This window comes from Homo sapiens, chromosome 17, assembly GCF_000001405.40.
Source record: "Homo sapiens chromosome 17, GRCh38.p14 Primary Assembly".
NCBI classification, from domain to species: Eukaryota; Metazoa; Chordata; class Mammalia; order Primates; family Hominidae; genus Homo; species Homo sapiens.
Genome location: NC_000017.11, coordinates 56,957,037 through 56,977,545, shown reverse-complemented (window position 1 = coordinate 56,977,545; position 20,509 = coordinate 56,957,037). Strand labels below are relative to the sequence as shown.

The 20,509-nt window shown below is 42.7% G+C and overlaps 1 protein-coding gene and 1 long non-coding RNA gene across 4 annotated transcripts in view, besides 4 other annotated features; one reads left to right on the top strand and one right to left on the bottom strand.

Annotated features, from left to right (window-relative positions):
- Positions 1–1,538: 1,538 nt before the first annotated feature.
- LOC105371836 (uncharacterized) lies at positions 1,539–16,398 on the bottom strand. 3 transcript variants are annotated; one of them, XR_001752945.3, is made up of 5 exons: positions 16,134–16,398; positions 10,923–11,192; positions 6,121–6,267; positions 5,129–5,249; positions 1,609–1,797 (listed from the first exon to the last, which is right to left on the bottom strand). It is a non-coding gene; the product is annotated as an uncharacterized LOC105371836 (long non-coding RNA). The 3 variants fall into 3 exon arrangements; XR_934875.4 differs by lacking the exon at positions 5,129–5,249 and having other exon boundaries at positions 1,539–1,797; XR_934874.4 differs by lacking the exon at positions 1,609–1,797 and having other exon boundaries at positions 4,107–5,249.
- Positions 16,364–16,658: an enhancer, noted in NCBI's record as "tiled region #7909; HepG2 Activating DNase unmatched - State 1:Tss, and K562 Activating DNase unmatched - State 1:Tss". NCBI's record gives its function as "activates a minimal TATA promoter and a strong SV40 promoter by Sharpr-MPRA in HepG2 and K562 cells {active_cell/tissue: HepG2 | K562}" and the evidence as "EXISTENCE:reporter gene assay evidence [ECO:0000049][PMID:27701403]".
- Positions 16,415–16,464: an enhancer, noted in NCBI's record as "active region_12422". NCBI's record gives its function as "activates an Ori minimal core promoter by ATAC-STARR-seq in GM12878 lymphoblastoid cells {active_cell/tissue: GM12878}" and the evidence as "EXISTENCE:reporter gene assay evidence [ECO:0000049][PMID:35858748]".
- Positions 16,475–16,614: an enhancer, noted in NCBI's record as "active region_12421". NCBI's record gives its function as "activates an Ori minimal core promoter by ATAC-STARR-seq in GM12878 lymphoblastoid cells {active_cell/tissue: GM12878}" and the evidence as "EXISTENCE:reporter gene assay evidence [ECO:0000049][PMID:35858748]".
- The window catches only part of COIL (coilin), a 22,852-nt gene continuing 18,838 nt past the window's right edge, over positions 16,496–20,509 (top strand). The window contains exon 1 of the mRNA NM_004645.3: positions 16,496–16,771. Coding sequence (NP_004636.1) covers positions 16,527–16,771 — 245 coding nt within the window. The 5' untranslated portion in view covers positions 16,496–16,526. The remainder of the gene's footprint in view (positions 16,772–20,509) is intronic.
- Positions 16,785–16,894: a silencer, noted in NCBI's record as "silent region_8742". NCBI's record gives its function as "represses an Ori minimal core promoter by ATAC-STARR-seq in GM12878 lymphoblastoid cells {active_cell/tissue: GM12878}" and the evidence as "EXISTENCE:reporter gene assay evidence [ECO:0000049][PMID:35858748]".

The window sequence follows — 20,509 nt, the reverse complement described above, 5'->3', positions numbered from 1 at the left end:
TTTTTTTTCTTTTTTGATAATTTGTCATTAGTATTACTCTGTGTTACGTTATCTTCACAGCAGTCATTTTAAAGAGAGAATCGAGGGTCTGGGGACGGGAAAGGAAGAAAAAGTGGATGACAGAGCTGTTTTCCTCTGTGTGTGTGTGTGTGTGTGTGTGTGTGTCTGTCTGTCTGTCTGAAGGTCATTTTTACGTTAGAGGGTACTGAATAACTCACCTCACAGCTAGGAGACAAGCTACAGCAGGGGCTGTAGGAGAGGCTACTTCTAAATACTGCTTCAAAAGTACATGTAACAAAAAGCAAAAAACAAATCAAAGTACATGTGGCCACTTCTCCTCTTTCCCTGCTCCTTTCTCCCTCCCCTCGCCCTTGACCCCCATAAATGGAAGTGCTTTTTACTCTGCAGCCATTGTCTGGACAGAGCCTTGACCCCGCCCTGCCTGTGAGGTGCCCCTGCACTGAAAGCTGCGGCAGAGAAAAATATGCCGCCGGGTTCTGTCATGCTTTAAGCATGGGATGGTCCCGAATGCATAAAATCCATAATGCCTGGGCAACATATTGAGACCCCCTCTCTACAAAAAATAACAAAAATTAACTGATGTGGTGACACGCGCCTGCTGTCCAAGCTACTCAGAAGGCTGAGGTGGGAGGATCACTTGAGCCCAGGAGCTCCAGGCTGCAGTGAGCAGGTGTTCCATGCCATATGGGAGATACATAAAAGTACATGCTTAGTTAAAAATAAATAACTATCTAGCAAACTTTTCCTGTCTGAAGCTTCCAAGTTGGTCTGTATCACTAGGGCTTGAAATACACTTACCCTTCCACTGCAGTCAGAATTTTAGGGTTTCAATTTTTTTGCCACAAAAATAACACTACAGCCCAGGGCGCAAGGTGGCTCACACCTGTAATCCCAGCACTTTGGGAGGCCGAGGTGGGCAGATTACTTGAGGTCGGGGGTTTGAGACCAGCCTGGCCAACATAGTGAAACCCCATTTCTACAAAAATACAAAAATTAGCTGGGTGTGGTGGCACTTGCTTGTGGTCTTAACTACTCGGGAGGCTAAGGCATGAGAATCGCTTGAACCCAGGAGGTGGAGGTTGCAGTGAGCCAAGATGGTGCCACTGCACTCCAGCCTGGGTGACAGAGTAAGACCCCATCTCACACACGCACAAAAAAATTGTGCATTTTATAATACGCTAATATGACTTCAAAAGGAAAAAATATAAATAAAATGTCACCTCTAGTTAATGATATTCATATTAAAGTGTTTAGGGGAAGGTGTACCAATGTATACAATTTTCTTTGAAATGTATCCAGATGCTGGCACAGTGACCTATGCCTGTAATCCAGCTCTTTGGGAGACCAAGGTGGGATGATTGATTGAGCCTAGAAGTTTGAGACCAGCCTGGACAATATAGTGAGACCATGTCTCTTAAAAAAAAAAAAAGTATCCAGAATATAAGATGGATTGATGGATAGGATGGAAAGAAGGTTGGATACATGGATAAATACATGATATCAAGTATTACAGTAACATTTTCTTTTTTCATTACAGTTTATAATCACAGGAACAAAATAAACAAAAACCACATGTAGAAACCAGATTAAAGCTTGTTATCCTTACAGGCAGTGGCGAAATTCCAATCTTCAGGGTTGGAGTGGTCTTTGTTTAAGAAAAATACCTCCTTGGTTCATTGAAGTTAGGAGTTGGGAGCTGATGGCATAGTAGCTGCAGCCAAGGCAACAAAAGATAATTGCCAAACTGTGCGGCCCAGGAGAAATTTTGTTTTGCTCCTAGGAGAGGAAAGAAGAGAGAAAGATGAAAAGAAGTGAAGGCTACATATAGAGAAAGATTAGCCAAAGAGAGTTGAGGCTGGAAGAAGAGCCAGTAGAAATTTCTCCGATGAGGAGTGGCTATGTAATCCCCCAATGGGTTCTTTTTGCCTGCTGCCCAGATAGAGCCAGCCAATTTATGAAGGCAGGGGAATTGCAATGGGGAAACAGTTTAATTCATGCAGAGCTGGCTGAAAGGAAGACTGGAGTTTTATAATTACTCAAATCAGTCTCTGAGGAGTAGTTTCAAAGACAGTTTAGGGGTAGGAGCAGAGGTGGCTAGGCAATGGATGCTTGCTGCTGATTGGTTGGGTTGGAGATGAAATCACAGGGAGTTGAAGCTGTCTTCTTGCGCGGATTTGCTTCCAGGTGGGGCCGCAGGAGCAGTTGGTAGGTCCAGGTGGAGCCAGGTGTCAGACATGCAAAAAAACCTGAAAAGATATCTCAAAAGGCTAATCTTAGGTTCTACAATAGTGATGGTGTCTGCAGGAGTAATTGGAGAAGTTGCATATTTTGTGACCTCAGGAATAATGGCTGGCAATCCTTAGCAGAATTCAGCCTCCTCTATTTTCTTAGCCTGGTGGTCATTTAGCGTAAAGTTTGGGGAAGGGCCATTATCATTTAACCTATAACCTAAATGCCTCCCAAAGTTAGCTTGGCCCAGAAGTCCAGGAATAATTAAAGGTAGCTTGAAGGCTAAAGGCAAAGGCAAGATGCCGGTTGGTGAAATCAGATCTCTCCCACTGACAAAATGTTCTCACTGACACAGTTTATGCAAAGGCTGTCAGCTACAGAACATTTTTTAAAAGTTATGCTTGTGGTTCAATTTGAAGTGGATTGCATTTCTACAATGTAAACCTGTCCTCTTGGGGCAGCTAAAAACTATAATAGGACTGGGCCAGGCGCGGTGGCTCGCGCCTATAATCCCAGCACTTTGGGAGGCCAAGGAGGGTGGATTGCCTCAGCTCAGGAGTTCCAGACCAGCCTGGGCAACATGGTGAAACTAAATTAGCCGGGTGTGGCGGCTTGTGCCTGTATTCCCAGCTACTCGGGAGGCTGAGGCAGGAGAATTGCTTAAACCCAGGAGGCAGAGGTTGCAGTGAGCCGAGATCGTGCCACTGCACTCCAGCCTGGGTGACAGAGTGAGACTCTGTCTCAAAAAAAAAAAAAAAATTATATATATATAAAATACGGCTATAAAGGAGGCAATAGGACTGGAAAAAAGATACTGGGTACTGAACCTCAAAACTGTTTTTAAAATTATATGTTTATTCTGAGAAGGGTTTGGGAGGGAGGCTAATGGAAATTGGTTGGGAGTTCCTAAAGGCCCATCCATCGAATTCTTGGTGCAGATGCTTGTGGTAAACCTTGGCATTACGTGACTGTCTTCTCATGTGTCTTCACATCATCTTCCCTTTGAGCATATCAGTCTCTGTGCACTTGTGTCAGGCAACCTAACCAGAGTGACTCCATCTTGAATAAAGGCCAGAAAAAGCCAAATCTGCTGGGTTATATTCCCAGGGGGTTGGGCACTCTTGGTTACAAGATGTTTATGGTTGAGGGAACTAGTTAATAATGCTAACTAACAGCCCTTTCCCAAAACAAACCCCCTTCTTGCCTGGAGACTAGACTGCCTTTGCAGGACTAACAAATTAGCCACAAGATTAGAAATTATGGTTTAGGAGTAATGCGGCTGGAGGCTGCAAGATTCTGAGCCTTCCCAAATTGCTCCTGGGGATAACATCACTATAGTTAAACCTAAGATCAGTGCTTGAGATATTCAGCAGACCCTGCGCTGGATGGATCAGCTGGCATCACCCAGATCGATAAACTGGCTCATCTGTTCTGGTGGCCCCGACCCAGGAATTGACTCAGCACAAGAGGACAGCTTAGATTCCCTATGAGTTCATCTTCAACCTGACCAATCAGTGCTCCCGACTCACTGGCACTCCACCAACCAAATTATCCTTAAAAACTCTGGTCCTTGAATGCACAGGGAGACTGATTTGAGTAATAATAAAACTCCTGACTCCTGCGCAGCCAGCTCTGCATGAGTTACTCTTTTTGTTTTGCAATTCCCCTGTCTTGATAAACCGGTTCTGTCTAGGCAGTGGGCAAGGTGAACCCGTTGGGCAGTTACAGCAGGGGCCACCATGTTCAGCCCCAAACTTCTTTTCTTTTAATTTCCATCCATAAAACTCTACTTGATGTAGGTGCAGACATTCTTAATAAAATATTAGCAAATAGAATTCAGCATTTCATAAAAAGAATTAATTCACCATAACCAAATAGAATTTATTGTAAGGAAACATAGATGGTTCATTATTTGAAAAACAATCAAAATGATCAACCACATTAAAAGGAAAAAGAAGAAAAATCATATAATCATATAAATCAGTGCAGAAAAAATACCTGACAAAATTTAACATCACAAGTTTAACACACAGTTTTTAAATTTATTATTTAAAAAATTCAGAAAATGGGAATTGAGGGGACCTTCCTCAACTTGATAAAGAGCATTTACAGGCAAGCTACTGTGGCTCACGCTGGTAATTCTAGTGTTCCTGGACAAAACTGAGGGTTGGGCTGCTATTTCTTGTGCCCCAATAATGAGATGCAGATGAATTGGGGAGAGAGTTTTTATTTCTGTAACCAGTTACAGGGGGAAGGCCTGGAAGTTATTGCCAGACCAACTCCAAATTACAACATTTTCCAGAGCTTATATACCTTTTAAGCTATATGTCTACGTGTAAGTGTGCATTCATCTAAAGACATAAGTGATTCACTACTTTTAATCTATAATTAAGGTCTGAGTCCTGAGGATCTTCCTCCGGAGCATCAGTAAATTTACTTAATCTAAATGGGTCCAGGTGCTGGGGTGGTTACCCTTATCTTGTCTCCTGCTAAATCATGGAGGTTTAGGGAGTTCCTTCAGACCTGCAATAAACTTGTATGTGGAGGCCTGGAAAGCTTCTTCAGACTCATGATAAAACTTGTTTAATCCTAAATGGGTCCTGTTAAGAATTCCTTCATTATTTTGTCATGCTTTAAGGCCCAGGAAAGGCCTACGCAAAACTCTTGGTGGGCTTTTGTTCCATCCCAGCCTTTGTATAAGGGCCACTGGCTTTTAATATTTAACTTAACCACTCAGTCAATACTGAAACAGTTGTTACAGAAGCCTGCTTTAGTGAGATCCGCCTGCCACAATCTCCACTGTCAATTTGCACATGATATCTATCATGCTTGTATATTTATTTATCACGAGGATTGTAGGGAGATGGGACATCATAACCTTTCTGGCTACTTCCTGCTGAGAGAGGGTCGTCGTTATGGGGCACCAAACACAGCACTGGAGTGGAAGAGGTCGATTTGTTCTTGGTAGCACTCTCTGCTTCAGGGCTTAGAGGCAGCACCTGTTGAAACATACTAGTATGCAACAGCAACACATGTAAATAGTTTGCAACAGCGTAATAGTATGCAACAGCAACATATAAATAGGTTGCTGCTGTTTTCTTCTGAAATTTAAGTTGTTTAGTTCACAGGGCTTTAAGTAAGCACAGCTTAAGTTTCAGTGATTTCCAATTGAAAGAATGGGGAAAAAGGAAACTAAAGAGGAAAAAATTGAAAACATTATTTTGGAGACCTGTAGCCAGAAAAATTAGAACTTCATCCAAACTGTAGAAAGTAATAAAAACTGAAAAACATCAGGCAAGACTAGAATTTAACAATAGGTGTACTATAGTTTTTGAAACATAACTTTTCTGTCTCCAGTTTCCCATTTTTACTAGAGACAAATCATGATAGGACCAATTTGCTTTATTATACTTGGCCAGATTATTTGTTTGTTTGTTTTGTTTGAGACAGAGTCTCAGTCTGTCACTATGCTGTAGTGCGGTGGCACAATCTTGGCTCACTGCAACCTCCACCTCCCAGGTTCAAGCAATTCTTGTGCCTCAGCCTCCCGAGTAGCTGGGATTACAGGCACGTACTACCACACCCAGCTAATTTTTGTATTTTTAGTATAGAAGGGGTTTCACCATGTTGGGCAGGATGGTCTTGATCTCCTGACCTCGTGATCTGCCCACCTCGGCCTCCCGAAGTGCTGAGATTACTGGCATGAGCCACTATGCCCAGCTGGCCAGATTATTTGCATAAACTGCAGCAAGAAAAATTATTTTTCACATAGACCTTTTAAACTGGCTTTGATGGAACTTTGTTCCACAGCAGGAATCTCAGATAAGACTTTAAAGCCAAGCCCAGTCATGGATTTGTACCATCAAATACCTATGTGTTGGGTGAATTTCTCTCCTCTTGAGGTTCCAAGACAACTTGGGGTTCCGTTGGCTCCATAAGTCAAGTTTGATTTCTTAAAGGAAAGCACACCATTCCAGTCAAAGCCTTGGTAAAATGATCAGTTTTTTCAATTGTGACCTGTTACAAAAGAAATCAGATTTTTATTCCACTTATCCAAATAACTATATTGCCATAGATTAAGAATACTTACAAATAGTTTTCAAATTCTGGAGAAAATCAGCTAGAGAGAAACAAATATGCTCAAATTTTGTTCATGGGAGTATACTAAATTGTTAAAAGCTGTCAATAGTTCAAAAGAAAAGTTTCCTTGACTCTGAAAAACAAAACAAAGAATTAGCAATATTTTAAGCAAAAAGTCAAAAGATCACTTCAGTCTCCTATTAGTTCAGTTAATGCAGTTAATTCCTGTCCTGCTTGATATTAATGAGCAGTTTAGCTCTTCAAGAGTCCTGAGGCCTGGCACGGTGGCTCACACCTGTAATCCCAGCACTTTGGGAGGCTGAGGTGGGCGGATTGCCTGAGGTCAGGAGTTTGAGACCAGCCTGGCTACCATGGTGAAATCCCATCTCAACTAAAAATACAAAAAAATCACCAGGCATGGTGGCACATGCCCGTAGTCCTAGCTGCTCGGGAGGCTGATGCAGGAGAATTTCTTGAACCTGGAGGTGGAGGTTGCAGTGAGCTGAGATCACACCACTGTACTCCAGCCTGGGCGACAGAGCAAGACTCTTGTCTCAAGAGAAAAAAAAAAAAAGTCCTGAACATTTTTCCTCAGTTCTGATGTCACAATCTCCAAAGTTATCAGAAACCTGCATTCAAGAGCACCTGTTAGAGCTTTATAGCTGATTATAAAACCACCTTCTAAAGAGGACCAAAAGAGGAGAACAATTGTTTATGGATGACAAAAAGTTTTAGGGTAGCCATAGTTAAAGATACAATTGACAAGGAAATCTGTTACCTCTGTGGTACACAATAACTTAACATAACTATTATAATTATTATTGATAATGTACACTAAGATATATTAGAAATATAGGAGTCTCCCATAACTTTGGAACACATACCAATAACATATTCATACAAATATAGCCCAAAGAAAGCCAAACACCATTTCATATTTGACAATTCTTCCTGCATAATTCTTATACCAAATAAGCCAATTACACCTTTACATTAGTGTACTATTAATGTTAAACCCAATTCTTAGTAAAACCTTATAGACATATTTACCCAATTTTAATGTTTGACCATAAGGTAATATTTTTATAGACCTTTTATAACCCTTTACTAAAAATACAAAAGATTAGCCAGGCATGGTGGCAGGCACCTGTAGTCCCAGCTACTTGGGAGGCTGAGGCAGGAGAATGGCGTGAACTCAGGAGGTGGAGCTTGCAGTGAGCCAAGATCGCACCACTGATCTCCAGCCTGGGCAACAGAGTGAGACTACGTCTCAAAAAAAAAAAAAAAAAAAGCCTTTACAATTTTTGTTAAAGAGCAGGTTAGTGCTCTAAGAGAAACCCAGTGTGCTTTTATTTTAATGCTTAATTGAGAAAAACACTGGATGATACACCTTTAACTTCAGCCAATATGTTTACACAAAGAATTTCCTTTACAATCAACCTTCCACAACTTGCTTAAACCTTCGTCTTTATTTTGTTCAACTTAAAACAATCCTTTAACCTTTAAATTTAGGCAAAAATCCACATTCTCATGCCTCGTTATAATCTTTTTACCAAAAGTATATTTTACTTTCCTTACACTGCTTGCATGTGAACTGTTTCTTTAACAGTCTTAAATACATGTTACACTCTTAACTCTTGGCAAACTTTACTTTTGTGAAAACCTTGCTAAGTTTGGGATTTTAATTATCTACTAAGTGTGGAGCCTAGAACCTAGACAGAAGTGCAGGTAAGTCTGACTTATTCCAGCATCTAACTCCATGTGTCCTAGGCCGTACCTAGCTGTAAAGCAGGCAAGTTTTACAGCTAAGAGTCATAGAGGCAATTTTTTAAATAAAGTATTTAGGAGGTCTAATCACCTTTAAATTGTACAACATTTCTTGTGTAAATTCCCTTTCATAAATTCTTTCTTGACTTACACAGGCAATCTCTGACATGCCTCAACTTTCTGACTTGTCCTAAATAGCCCTTTCTTTAAACAACCAGTTATTTTACTTTATGGCAACAATTTACCATATGAGATCTTTTCTTACATAAATTCTCTTTTCTTTAATACCTTGTTTTATATATAACCTTTAAATAAGTTTTGAATTAGACAAAAATTAGTTACCCTTTACAAAGGACACAATTTTTAGAATGTTTTCCTACCATATATATATATATATATATATATATATATATATATATATTTTTTTTTTTTTTTTTTTTTTTTTTTTTTTTTTGAGACAGAGTCTCACTCTGTTGCCCAGACTGGAGTGCAGTGGCGTGATCTCCACTCACTACAAGCTCTGCCTCCCGGGTTCACATCATTCTCCTGCCTAAGCCTTCCGAGTAGCTCCTACAATATATTTTTACTGGAAAATAACCAAATAATAAAATCTCTGTTGTTTAATATAACTTTAGATTCTAAATTATGACAAGTTTGTTTATGAGTATTTATCCCATTACATTTATCTAATTATTTATTTTAATCATTTACCTAGATTATTCATGAAAACTGTGATAGTCTTCATTTAAAGTTATGAAACTGCCATTGCAAAATTATAACTGAGCACCAACATGGCACATGTATACATATGTAACTAACCTGCACGTTGTGCACATGTACCCTAAAACTTAAAGTATAATAAAAAAATTATAACTGAGACAGTGAAAACGATCTGACCTAACTGACTCCATCTTGCTTCTAACCTCCAAGCTATTCTTGTTCATTAACTTAGAGTTTAGCTTTGAAACAAAGATGATAACAGTCCTTTTGCAGAACAAACTTCCTTCATGTCTATGGACTAGACTGCCTAACACAAGATTAGAAGTTTGGGTATTTAACTAAATAATTCAAGATGTAGCTTCTTCATTAAACCAATATTAATGTTTCATTTATTAAAAATTACACAAGCAAAGATCATTCTGTATTGGGCTGAGTCATACTTTTGTAGCCTCTATGCCAAATTTTGACACCTTCTAGTATTTAGCAGAGATAAGTATGAAATTGCTTGATCAATAAATGCAAACAAAAATGTACACTGGCAGCTCCTAAGACATTTCTAATATTACTTTACCAATAATTTTTAAAGCTAGCTTATTTATTAAAGATGTTACTTAAGTCACATAAACTTGAAAAAGCATTTGACTAGTCTTTCCTTTGTTCTGTTAAAGCATTTAAGTGCTTTTATTTTTCTTTGAGCCAATTAATTAGAACTCCTTTATATATTTTCAGTAGTGAAACATGGTGTACACAAGACACAAATATATAGATGCATTAGGCATGCCAACAGAAGCACATTTTACAGATTCATAAGATGTCGTTTTTCCTCTTTTAACTGGATCTTTGAGTTCTGGGCAGAGCCCATACCTAATCTTGGGTTTTCAAAAGGGAGACTTATTATGAGGCTAGACCATGTGACCAGCTTTTACTGTGCACTTAAAAAATATTTTTTCAAACAAAGTGTCTAAATTATACTTTTTCTTAAAAACCCTAGAGTAGGCCAGGTGCGGTGGCTCACTCTTATAATCCCAGCACTTCGGAAGGCCAAGGCGGGTGGATCACAAGGTCAGGAGATCAAGACCATCCTGGCCAACATGATGAAACCCTGTCTCTACTAAAAAGTACAAAAAATATGGCGGGCGCCTGTAGTCCCAGCTGCTTGGGAGGCTGAAGCAGAAGAATGGTGTGAACCCAGGAGGAGGAGCTTGCAGTGAGCCGAGATCGCACCACTGCACTCCAGCCTGGGCAACAGAGAGAGACTCTCCATCAGAAAAAGAAAATAAGAAAAAAACCCTGGAGTAGCTTCTGTTGCAATAGCTATTAATGAAGAAAACAGAATTCAGTCAACCGAGAAGAAAAATCTTTGCTCAAAAAGACAAGGTCCTAGGAGAGAAATAAACAAACATGAAGGCCTTTTATTTTTATTTATTTATTTTTTGAGACAAAGTCTCACACTGTTGCCTGGGCTGGAGGGCAGTGGCACAATCTCGGCTCACTGCAACCTCTGCCTCCTGGGTTCAAGCGATTCTCCTGCCTCAGCCTCCTGAGTAGCTGGGATTACAGGCACCTGCCACCACACCCAGCTAATTTTTTTGTATTTTTAGTAGAGATGGGGTTTCACCATGTTGGCCAGGCTGGTCTCAAACTACTGACCTCGTGATTTGCCTGCCTCGGCCTCCCAAAATGCTGGGATTACAGGCATGAGCTGCCATGCCCAGCCCATTAAGACCTTTTAAATACAATATGCGCATGTACATATACACACCTTGAATGCTAGCTTTTAATTAAGCTGACTTTTAGCCATTGAGCTCATAAAAAAATTTTTTCCTTCCCAGAGGCTTCTCAGCAGCAATGGACCCAATACCTCCCATTTTCATGTTTATATGATATCAAAGGGTATAAGACAGATACACAGATAAGTGGACACAAATTTTGGGCAACAAAAGGGGGAGTGCACTCAGGCAAAACAGACTCAAAACCAACTCAAAAGCTGGTCAACCAAAATTTAAAGCAGGTGTATGCATGAGCCCTGTTGCTTCCCTTGGCGGTACTGGACAAATGGCTTAACAAGTTGAGACAGGAAAACAATAGGCTCGCAATTAACTCACCCTTTGAGTGCATCCACTCCTGATCTCCATTCTTCCCCAGTAGTGAAAGAGATGTGCAATTTTCTGCATGAAACAGCCTTCAAGAGGGTCCTTGGGAAATCTCATCAGCAGCTGCTGGGATCCTCCTGAAGACTGTCTCATTGCAAGCTGCTAGCCGCTGAACACAGCACCATCCCAGTCTCTCCTGGCTGGCTTGCCAAATTTTGTTCCCAGACCAGAGTGAGGGTCGGGCTGCTATTTCTCATGGCCCAATAACGAGATCCAGATGAACTGGGGAGAAAGAAAGATTTTATTTCTGCAACCGATTACAGGGACAAGGCCTGGAAGTTATCACCAGACCAACTCCAAATTACAAAGTTTTCCAGAGCTTATATACCTTCTAAGCTATATGTCTACATGTTAAGTGTGCATTCATCTAAAGACATAAGTGATTAACTACTTTTAATCTATAATTAAGGTCTGAGTCCTGAAGACCTTCCTCTGGAGCCTCAGTAAATTTACTTAATCTAAATGGGTCTAGGTGCTGGGTGATTACCCTTCTCTTTGTCTCCTGCTAAATCATGGAGGTTTGGGGAGTTCCTTTAAGGGAGGAGACCACCCCTCATACTGTCTTATGCCCAATTTCTGCCTCCAAAGAAAGAAAAAGTAAAAACTAAAAGGCAGAAATGAAATCCACAGGCAGACAGCCCAGAGCCGTGCCCCGGGTCTGGTTAAAGATTGACCCCCGACCTAACCGGTTATGTTATCTATAGATTCCAGACATTGTATGGAAAAGCACTGTGAAAAATCCCTGTCCTGTTCTGTTCCATTATGATTACCAGTGCATGCAGCCCCCAGTCATGTACCTCCTGCTTGCTCAATCACGACCCTCTCATGTGGACCCCCTTAGTGTTGTAAGCCCTTAAAAGGGACAAGAATTGCTCACTCAGGGTACTCGGTTTTTGGAGATGTGAGTCTTGCCGAAGCTCCTGGCCAAATAAAGCCCTTCCTTCTTTAACTCGGTGTCTGAGGGGTTTTGTGTGTGGCTTGTTCTGCTACATTTCTTGGTTCCCTGACCGGGAAGCGAGGTGATTAACGGACAGTTGAGGCAGTCCCTTAGGTAGCTTAGGCCTGCCCTGTGGAGCATCCCTGCGGGGGACTCCAGCCAGCTTGAGTGACATGGATCCTGAGAGCAGTCCCTGGTAGGCAATTGCCCTGGTGGAATGCCTCATCAGAGCAGTGCATGGCAGGCCCCTGTGGAGGATCAACGCAGTGGCTGAACACCAGGAAGGAACTGGCACTTGGAGTCCGGACATCTAACAACACCTGTATGGGATTTGTATGCTTAAAACCACACAACGCTGATGAACGAAATCAGAAAGCTGAATAAATGGAAAGACATAATGTGTTCATGGATTTAGACTCAACATCCTAAAGATGTCAATTCATACCAAATTAATATATAGGTGTAGCACAATTTCTACCAATATCGCAGCAAGATTTTTTGGAGATATACACAAACAACATTATTTTAAAATTTATAAGAAAAGGAAAAGGAAGTAGAATAGCTAAAGCAATTAGGGCAAAGCATAAATACAGTGGCTCACGCCTGTAATCTCAGCAGTTTGGGAGGCCAAGGCAGGCGGATCACTTGAGGTCAGGAGTTCAAGACCAGCCTGGCCAACATGGTGAAACCCCGTCTCTACTAAAGATACAAAAAATTAGCCAGGCGTGGTGGCACCTGCCAGGAGATTGAGATCAGTCTGGAAGACATAGTCCAACACTATCTCTACAAAAAAATTAAAAATTAATGGACATGGTAGTCCTAGCTACTTGAAAAGCTGAACTGGGAGGGTCACTTGAGCCCAGGAGTCTGAGGCTACAGTGAGCTATGATCACACCACTGCTCTGCACTGTGGGCGCAATCTGTCTCTAAAAGAAAACAAGGGCCAGGCGCGGTGGCTTAAGCCCATAATCCCAGCACTTTGGGAGGCCGGGTGGATCACTTGGGGTCAAGAGTTCCAGACCAGCCTGGCCAACATGGTGAAACCCTATATCTACTAAAAATGCAAAAATTAACCTGGCATGGTGGTGTACACCTATGAAACCCTGTATCTACTAAAAATGCAAAAACTAGTCTAGCGTGGTGGTGCGCACCTATAGTCCCAGCTACTCGGGAGGCTGAGGCAGGAGAACTGCTTGAACCTGGGAGGCAGAGGTTGCAGTTAGCCAAGATCACGCCACTGCACTCCAGACTGGGCAACAGAGTGAGACTCCCTCTCAATAAAAAAAGAAAAGAAGAAAAGAAAAAAGACTGTATGGTGTTGGTGGAGGGAAAGACATATAGATCAATGAAACAGAACAGAGAATCCAGAAATAGATGTACACAAATATGCCCAACTGATTTCTGACAAACATTCAAAAGATTCAAAATGGAGGACATATAGTGTTATTAACAAATAGTACTGGAGCAATTGGACATCAAGAGGCAAGCAAACAAACAAAAATGAACGCTGATATAACTCTTACACAAAAATTAACTCAGGCTATGGCTCACACGAGTAATTCCACTGCTTTGGGAGGCTGAGCTGGGAGGATTGCTTGAGCCCAGAAAGTAGGGGCTGCAGTGAGCTATGATCTTGCCACTGCACTCCAGCCTGGACAACAGAACAAAAAACAAACAGGCTGGGCACAGAGGCTCCCGCCTGTAATCCCAGCTCTTTGGGAGGCCGAGGTGGGCAGATCACCGGAGGTCAGGAGTTCAAGACCAGCCTGACTAACATGGTAAAACCCTATCTCTACTAAAAATACAAAAATTAGCCAGGCGTGGTGGCGGGTGCCTGTAGTCCCCAGCTACTCGGGCAGCTGAGGCAGGAGAATCACTTGAACCTGGGAGGCAGAGGTAGCAGTGAAGAAAAAATTGATCGACCAGACTTCATCACAATTTAGAACTTTTGGTCTGTGATAGGCCCTATTAAGAGAATGATTAAAAAAAAAAAAAAGCTCCAGAGTCAAAGAAAATAATCCGCAATCCACATATCTGACAAAGTACTGTTACTGGTGGAGGGTGTTCTTGGCATCTTGAACAGAGAATTGGACAAAACGCACAAACAAAGCAAGGAAAGAATGAAGCAACAAAAACAGAGATTTACTGAAAATGAAAGTACGCTCCACAGGGTGGGAGCAGGCCCGAGCATAGGGGCTCAAGGGCCCTGTTACAGAATTTTTGGGGGCTTAAATACCCTCCAGAGGTTTCCACTGGTTTCTTGGTGTATGTCCTATGTAAATGGAGAGGATGAGGTAAAGTTAGAAAGTCATTTACTCCTCGTATGCCCTATGTAAATGAAGAGGATATTTCCTGTCACAGCTGAAGTGTGAATTGGCCTTATGTTCCCTGCCTCCAGATCCTATTTTCCTGCCTCAGTACTACTATCTAGAATACATAAAGAACTCTCAAAATTTAACAATCTAATAAGAGTAGATGTAAAAGACTTGAAGAGAATTTCACTGAAGAAGCACATAAACACAGGAAAAATGTTCAACATTATTAGCCATTAGAAAATACAAATTAAAACCACAAGAGGCTGGGCATGGTGGCTCATGCCTGTAATCCCAATATTTGGGAGGCTGAGGTGGGAGGATAGCTTGAGCCCAAGAGTTTGAGACCAGTCTGGGCAATGTGGCAAAACTCCGTCTCTACAAAGATTACAAAATTTAGCAGGGCATGGCAGTGCATGCCTGTAGTCCCAGCCACTCAGGAGGCTGAAGTGGGAGGTTCATTTGAGCTTCAGAGGTGAAGGCTGCAGTAAGCCTTGTGATCACGCCACTGCACTTCAGCACTGGAGACATAATGAGACCCAGCCTCAAAACAAACAAACAAATAAATAAAACCACAACATACCACAACACATCTACCAGAATGACTAAAAAATAGTGACAATGCCAAATGGTAGTCAGGATGTGGAGAAACTGGGATTACAGGGGTGAGCCACTGCGCCCAGCCGGAAATGCCCAAAAGTTATCCTGTATGGTGTAAAAGGGGAGTAACCCTCAGTTCTGAGGGAAATCCCTGCCCCTTTCCTAGGGATACAGAAAACTCATGAATAATCCATCCTTTGTTTAGCATACAGTCAAGAAGTAACTATAAGTATACTTGACTGAGTATACTTATAGTATGGGCTCGCTGCTCTGTCTATGGAGTAGTCATTCTTTTATTCCTTTAATTCTCTAATAAACTTGATTTTAGTCGGAGGTGGTGGCTCATGCCTGTAATCCCACCACTTTGGGAGGCCAAGGCAGGCAGATTGCTGGAATTCAGGAATTCGAGACCAGCCTGGCCACCATGGAAAAACCCTATCTCTACAAAAAATACAAAAATTAGCTGGGCTTGGTGGCTCACACCTGTGGTTCCAGCTACTAGGAAGGCTGAGGTGGGAAGTCACTTGAACCCGGGAGGCAGAGTGCACCACGGCACTCCAGCCTAGGTGACAGAGCAAGACTCTAAAAAAAGAAAATCCAAAAACCCTTACTTTCAGTTAAAAAATTTTGTTTTCAATTCATCTACTGACTCCCTGGTATCTACAACTTAACTAGTCTAGTGAACTTGGGGAAGTTACTCCTTTTTTTTTTTTTAAGACAGAATCTTGCTCTATTGCCCAGGCTGGAGTGCAGTGGCACGATCCTGACTCACTGCAACCTCCACCTCTTGGGTTCAAGCGATTCTACTGCTTCAGTCTCCCGAGTAGCTGGAATTATAGGCACATGCCACCACACCCGGCTAATCTTTATATTTTTAGTAGAGTTGGGGTTTCACCATTTTGGCCAGGGTGGTCTCAGACTCCTGGTCTCAAGTGATCCGCCCACCTTGGCCTCTCAAAGTGCTGGGATTACAGGCGTCAGCCACTGCTCCTGGCCTCTAGTTACTTCTTAAACTCTCTGAACCTTGTTTTTTTTAAATCCTCTAAATAAGGATAACAGTTCATAATTCCTAACTTTTGTTATGAAAATTAAAGGAGTTAATATATATTATGTGGAGAAATGTAAATTCTAGTTCAAAAAATAGAAGAAATAATGTAAATACTGATTTATTTATCTGGTGAGAAATGCAAGGACATTTTTGTTTGGTGGTGGGTATTAAAAGGCTAAGGTATTTATATTCCACTGGATACATTTGGAAGAATGATTAACAGTGTTATTTCAAAATTTCAACATTGAGAACACACTAGGACTTACATCTTTTTCAACTCATCATGATGAAAAATTTTGTCAGCGAAATGTGTTAGGATTGTTTTATAAAAATCTTTCACGTCGATGAGCAAATATCTTAGAAGACTACTGCTGAGGAGAAATGTTATTTATCCAGAGAGTTGCCTTAATTAGGAGACCCTACATAGCGCCCAGTAGAAATGTAATAAAGGCATTTCACTTATTCCCTTCCTCAGCCCTGCCGTGAACAAAATTGAATGAAATCAACCACGCTCCGAGTTCTCGCCTAGACGCAGCCTGTAGTAGCCAGGTTTCACCACTAGGTGGCACACGCCAAAGGCTCCGGCGGGGGCGAGCCGCCCGAGCACGCCTCTCGGTGGCCCCGTGGTATCTCTCGGCTTCCGTTGAGCACCAAGCAAGATGGCAGCTTCCGAGACGGTTAGGCTACGGCTTCAATTTGATTACCCGCCGCCAGCTACCCCGCACTGTACGGCCTTCTGGCTTCTGGTCGACTTGAACAGATGCCGAGTCGTCACAGATCTCATTAGTCTCATCCGCCAGCGCTTCGGCTTCAGTTCTGGGGCCTTCCTAGGCCTCTACCTGGAGGGGGGGCTCTTGCCCCCCGCCGAGAGCGCGCGCCTTGTGAGAGACAACGACTGCCTCAGGTGCGCGGCGCAGGGAGCGGGACGGCCGGGTGGGCGGCGGGCGGGGGACGCGCCTGCGCACGCCCGGGCCTGAAGCCGCTAGACCTGGTAGTGGAGGGGATGGGGGATGGGGAAGGGGACGAGGGTTGGAGGGGGGTGGGGCTGTAAAAATGCACGTTCGCGAACCCCGGAGATCCTGATTGGTGTAGTCAACTTTGGGGCTCAGGAATCTGCATTTTATTATTATTTTTTATTATTATTTTTTTTTTTTTGAGACGGAGTCCTGCTTTGTCACCCAGGCTGGAGTACAGTGGCGCGATCTCGGTTCACTGCAACCTCCACCTCCCGGGTTCAAGCAATTTTCCTGCCTCAGCCTCCCGAGTAGCTGGGACTACAGGCGTCCGCCACCACGCCCGGCTAATTTTTGTATTTTTAGTAGAGATGGGGTTTCACCATATTGGTCAAGGTGGTCTCGAACTCCTGACCTCAGTTGATCCGCTTGCATCGGCCTCTCAAAGTGCTGGGATTGCAGGCGTGCACCACCGCATCCTGCCCCTATTATTTTTATTTTTGAGACTGAGTCTCATTCTGTCACCCAGGCTGGAGTGCAGTGGCGCGATCTCAGCTCACTGCAGCCTCCACCTCCCGGGTTCAATCGATCCTCCCACCTCAGCCTCCCGAGTAGCTGGGCTTACAGGCGGGCGCCACCATGCCCGGCTAATTTTTTGTTTGTTTGTTTGTATTTTTAGTAGAGACGGGGTTTCACCGTGTTGGCCAGGCTGGTCTTGAACTCCTGACGTTAAGTGATCCTCCCGGCTTCCCAAAGTGCTGGGATTACAGGCGTGAGCCTCCGCGCCTGGCTGGAATCTGCAGTGTAACGAGCATCCTTCCCGGGATGCTTCTGATGACAGGAGAATCAAACTTGGAAAATCCCTGATGCCTAAGGGCAGGGCCAGGCTTTCTTTCAGCCTTGATTTAGCACATCCGCGCTTAGCTAGGCACTGTGCGACTCTGTTGCGTGCCCATGGTGCAGATGTGCCGGAGACCCGGCCTTACCCATGGCGGCCTTCAGGGTCAGGTGCAGGAAGCTGACAAAGGGGAATCGTTGTGTTTTCTTCATAACCTGCTGTTGTCCAGCCTTAGTTCTCATGTGCCCAGTGTCCCCTGAGACTTCTGGTGGCGTATCATTTTGTGTCTCACCCAGACATTTTGGGATTCTCTCAAATAAGTGTCTTGAGTCCTTTTGGGCTGTAAATTGGGAAACACAAAATAATCTTAAATATGCTTTTGGAAGTTAAAAAAATGATAATGAGATGAGTATCCAGGAGCAATTGTAGTGTGAATTGCTGAAATGTGGTTGAGTTGCCACAGTAAGATGATGGTATCTGATCATTCCAGTTTGGATTCATATCTTGGACTGATTTATTCAGACTTTTTTTTTTCTTTTTTAAATAAAGAGACTGGGTTTCCCATGCCCAGGCTGGAGTGCAGTGGTACGATCATAGCTTGCTGTAACCTTGACTTCCTGGGCACAGGCAATCCTCCCACCTCAGCCTCCCGAGTAGTTGGGACTTCAGGCCAGGCAACCACGCCTGGCTAATTTTTGTATTTGTTGTAGAGACAGGGTTTCGCCATGTTGCCCAGGCTGGTCTCGAATCCCTGGGCTCAAGCTGTCCTCTCACCTCAGCCCCCCAAAGCACTGGGATTACAGGCGTAAGCCACTGTGCCAGCCTTCCTTCCCCCACCCCCTTTAAGCTTCAGCTACAGTGAATTAATTCCAGAGTTGTGAACCAGGCTATTTTCTCTTGCTGCCCTTTGTCGTTGAATATTCCTTACCCTCAAGCATGTCAGATTCCGTAAGATTTCTTCAGAACATCAGGGAATTTAATTTGGAACAGTAACTGCATCTTTAAATCAGGATATTATGATTTATTGAATAATGTTCAACTGTTTCAAATGACAATTTGAAATAATCCAAATTTCAAAGAGTTTTTTTTCCCCCTTTTTATTGACTGTGAAATAGGTCTCTATTCTCTCTGCAATTCAAGGATTATTTAAATGTTACAATTCTAAGGATTGTGTCCCATCCTATTAAGTTTACTTTCTGAACTGTCTCTTGCCTAATGAGTTAATAACTTGTGCTAACTATAATTATACTTTAATGAATCATGTGGGCATTACATTCTTCATAATGAAGTTAACAATGACAAAAACAAACCATGAAAACTGTTATAAGTAATAATTACAACACGATGACAGGCAAATCTTTCCTAAATGCTTCAAATGCACAGCTGCATGTGGCAAAAAATACCTCTCTAGTGGCTTCAGTGGCAAATGGGCAGACCGTAGAAAAAGATGAATCTGGAAAGTTCGTCTTTGTTTTTGTTGTTTTATGTCCACAATCATTGTTTTTCCCTGGCAAATTCACTTTTCTTCAGAGCTACGGAAGAACACATAGTCTCTATTCTCAAAGTACCCAATATTGTTGGACTGGGACCCAAATAATGAGTCTCATGCTTTTGTATATTACCTTCTGTGATACAGACAATTAGACTGAATAGTTAGACCAAGTTATATGGTAAGTGCAGAAGCTGGTTGAGAAAAGGGAGATCAGCATGGAACAAAATGGTTAGGGAATTGAGCAGTACCTTGAAGAATGGGTGGGAAATGTTGGATGATCAAAGCACAGTTATAGAGACAAAAGCTGGCTGGACTTGGTAAAAAGATGAGTCTGACCAGCCAAAGCATTCTGTTGGGATCATTGGCAGTACTGAGAAGGCTAATGAGGAAAAGTGGAACTAGGTTGTGGGAATCCTGAGAAACAGCCTTTGAGGCTTTGGATGCACCACACACTTGTGTTCCACTGCTGTTTCCTCATAGCCCATTCTCTTAAGCCCCAGGAATCTGGCTTCATCTGCCCCCAGGTTTCTGACAGCGAGTTCCTAAAGGTGGTCTCTAACTGTCCTGGGAGGAGGAGGAGGTGCTTCTATTGGCTTGGAGCCCCCTGTGTTAGTTTGCTGGGGCTGCTATAACAAAATACCACAGACTGTATGGCTTAAAAAATGGAAATTTATTTCTTACTCTTCTGGAGACTACAAGTCCAAGATCAGGGTGTTGGCAGATTTGGTTTTTTTATTTTATTTTAATTAATTAATTAATTTATTTATTTTTCTTGAGACAGAGTCTCACTCTGTTGCCCAGGCTGGAGTGCAGTGGCACGATCTTGGCTCACTGCAACATCTGCCTCCCAGGTTCAAGCGATTCTCCTGCCTCAGCCTCCCGAGTAGCTAGGATTACAGGCACCCGCCACCATGCCAGGCTAATTTTTTTGTATTTTTAGTAGAGATGGGGTTTCACCATGTTGGCCAGGCTGGTCTCGAACTTGTGACCTCAAGTGATTTGCCCTCCTCAGCTTCCCAAAGTGCTGGGATTACAGGAGTGAGCAACTGTGTCTGGCGGTTTTTAATTTTTTTTAATTAATTTTTAAATTTTTTTTAATCGTGCAGCCCTCAGAATTACAGTAGATTCAGAGAGACTCCCTTATTTTTTGAGACAGGGTCTCACTCCATTGCCCAGGCTGGAGTGCAGTGGCGCAACCTTGGCTTATACAGCCTCGAACTCCTGAGCTCAAGGGCTCCTCCTGCCTCAGCCTTTTGAGTAGCTGGGACTACAGGTGCAGTTTTTTATTTTTAGTAGAGAGGTCTCACTAAGTTGCCCAGGCTGGTCTCAAACTCCTGGGCTCAAGTAGTCCTCCCGCCT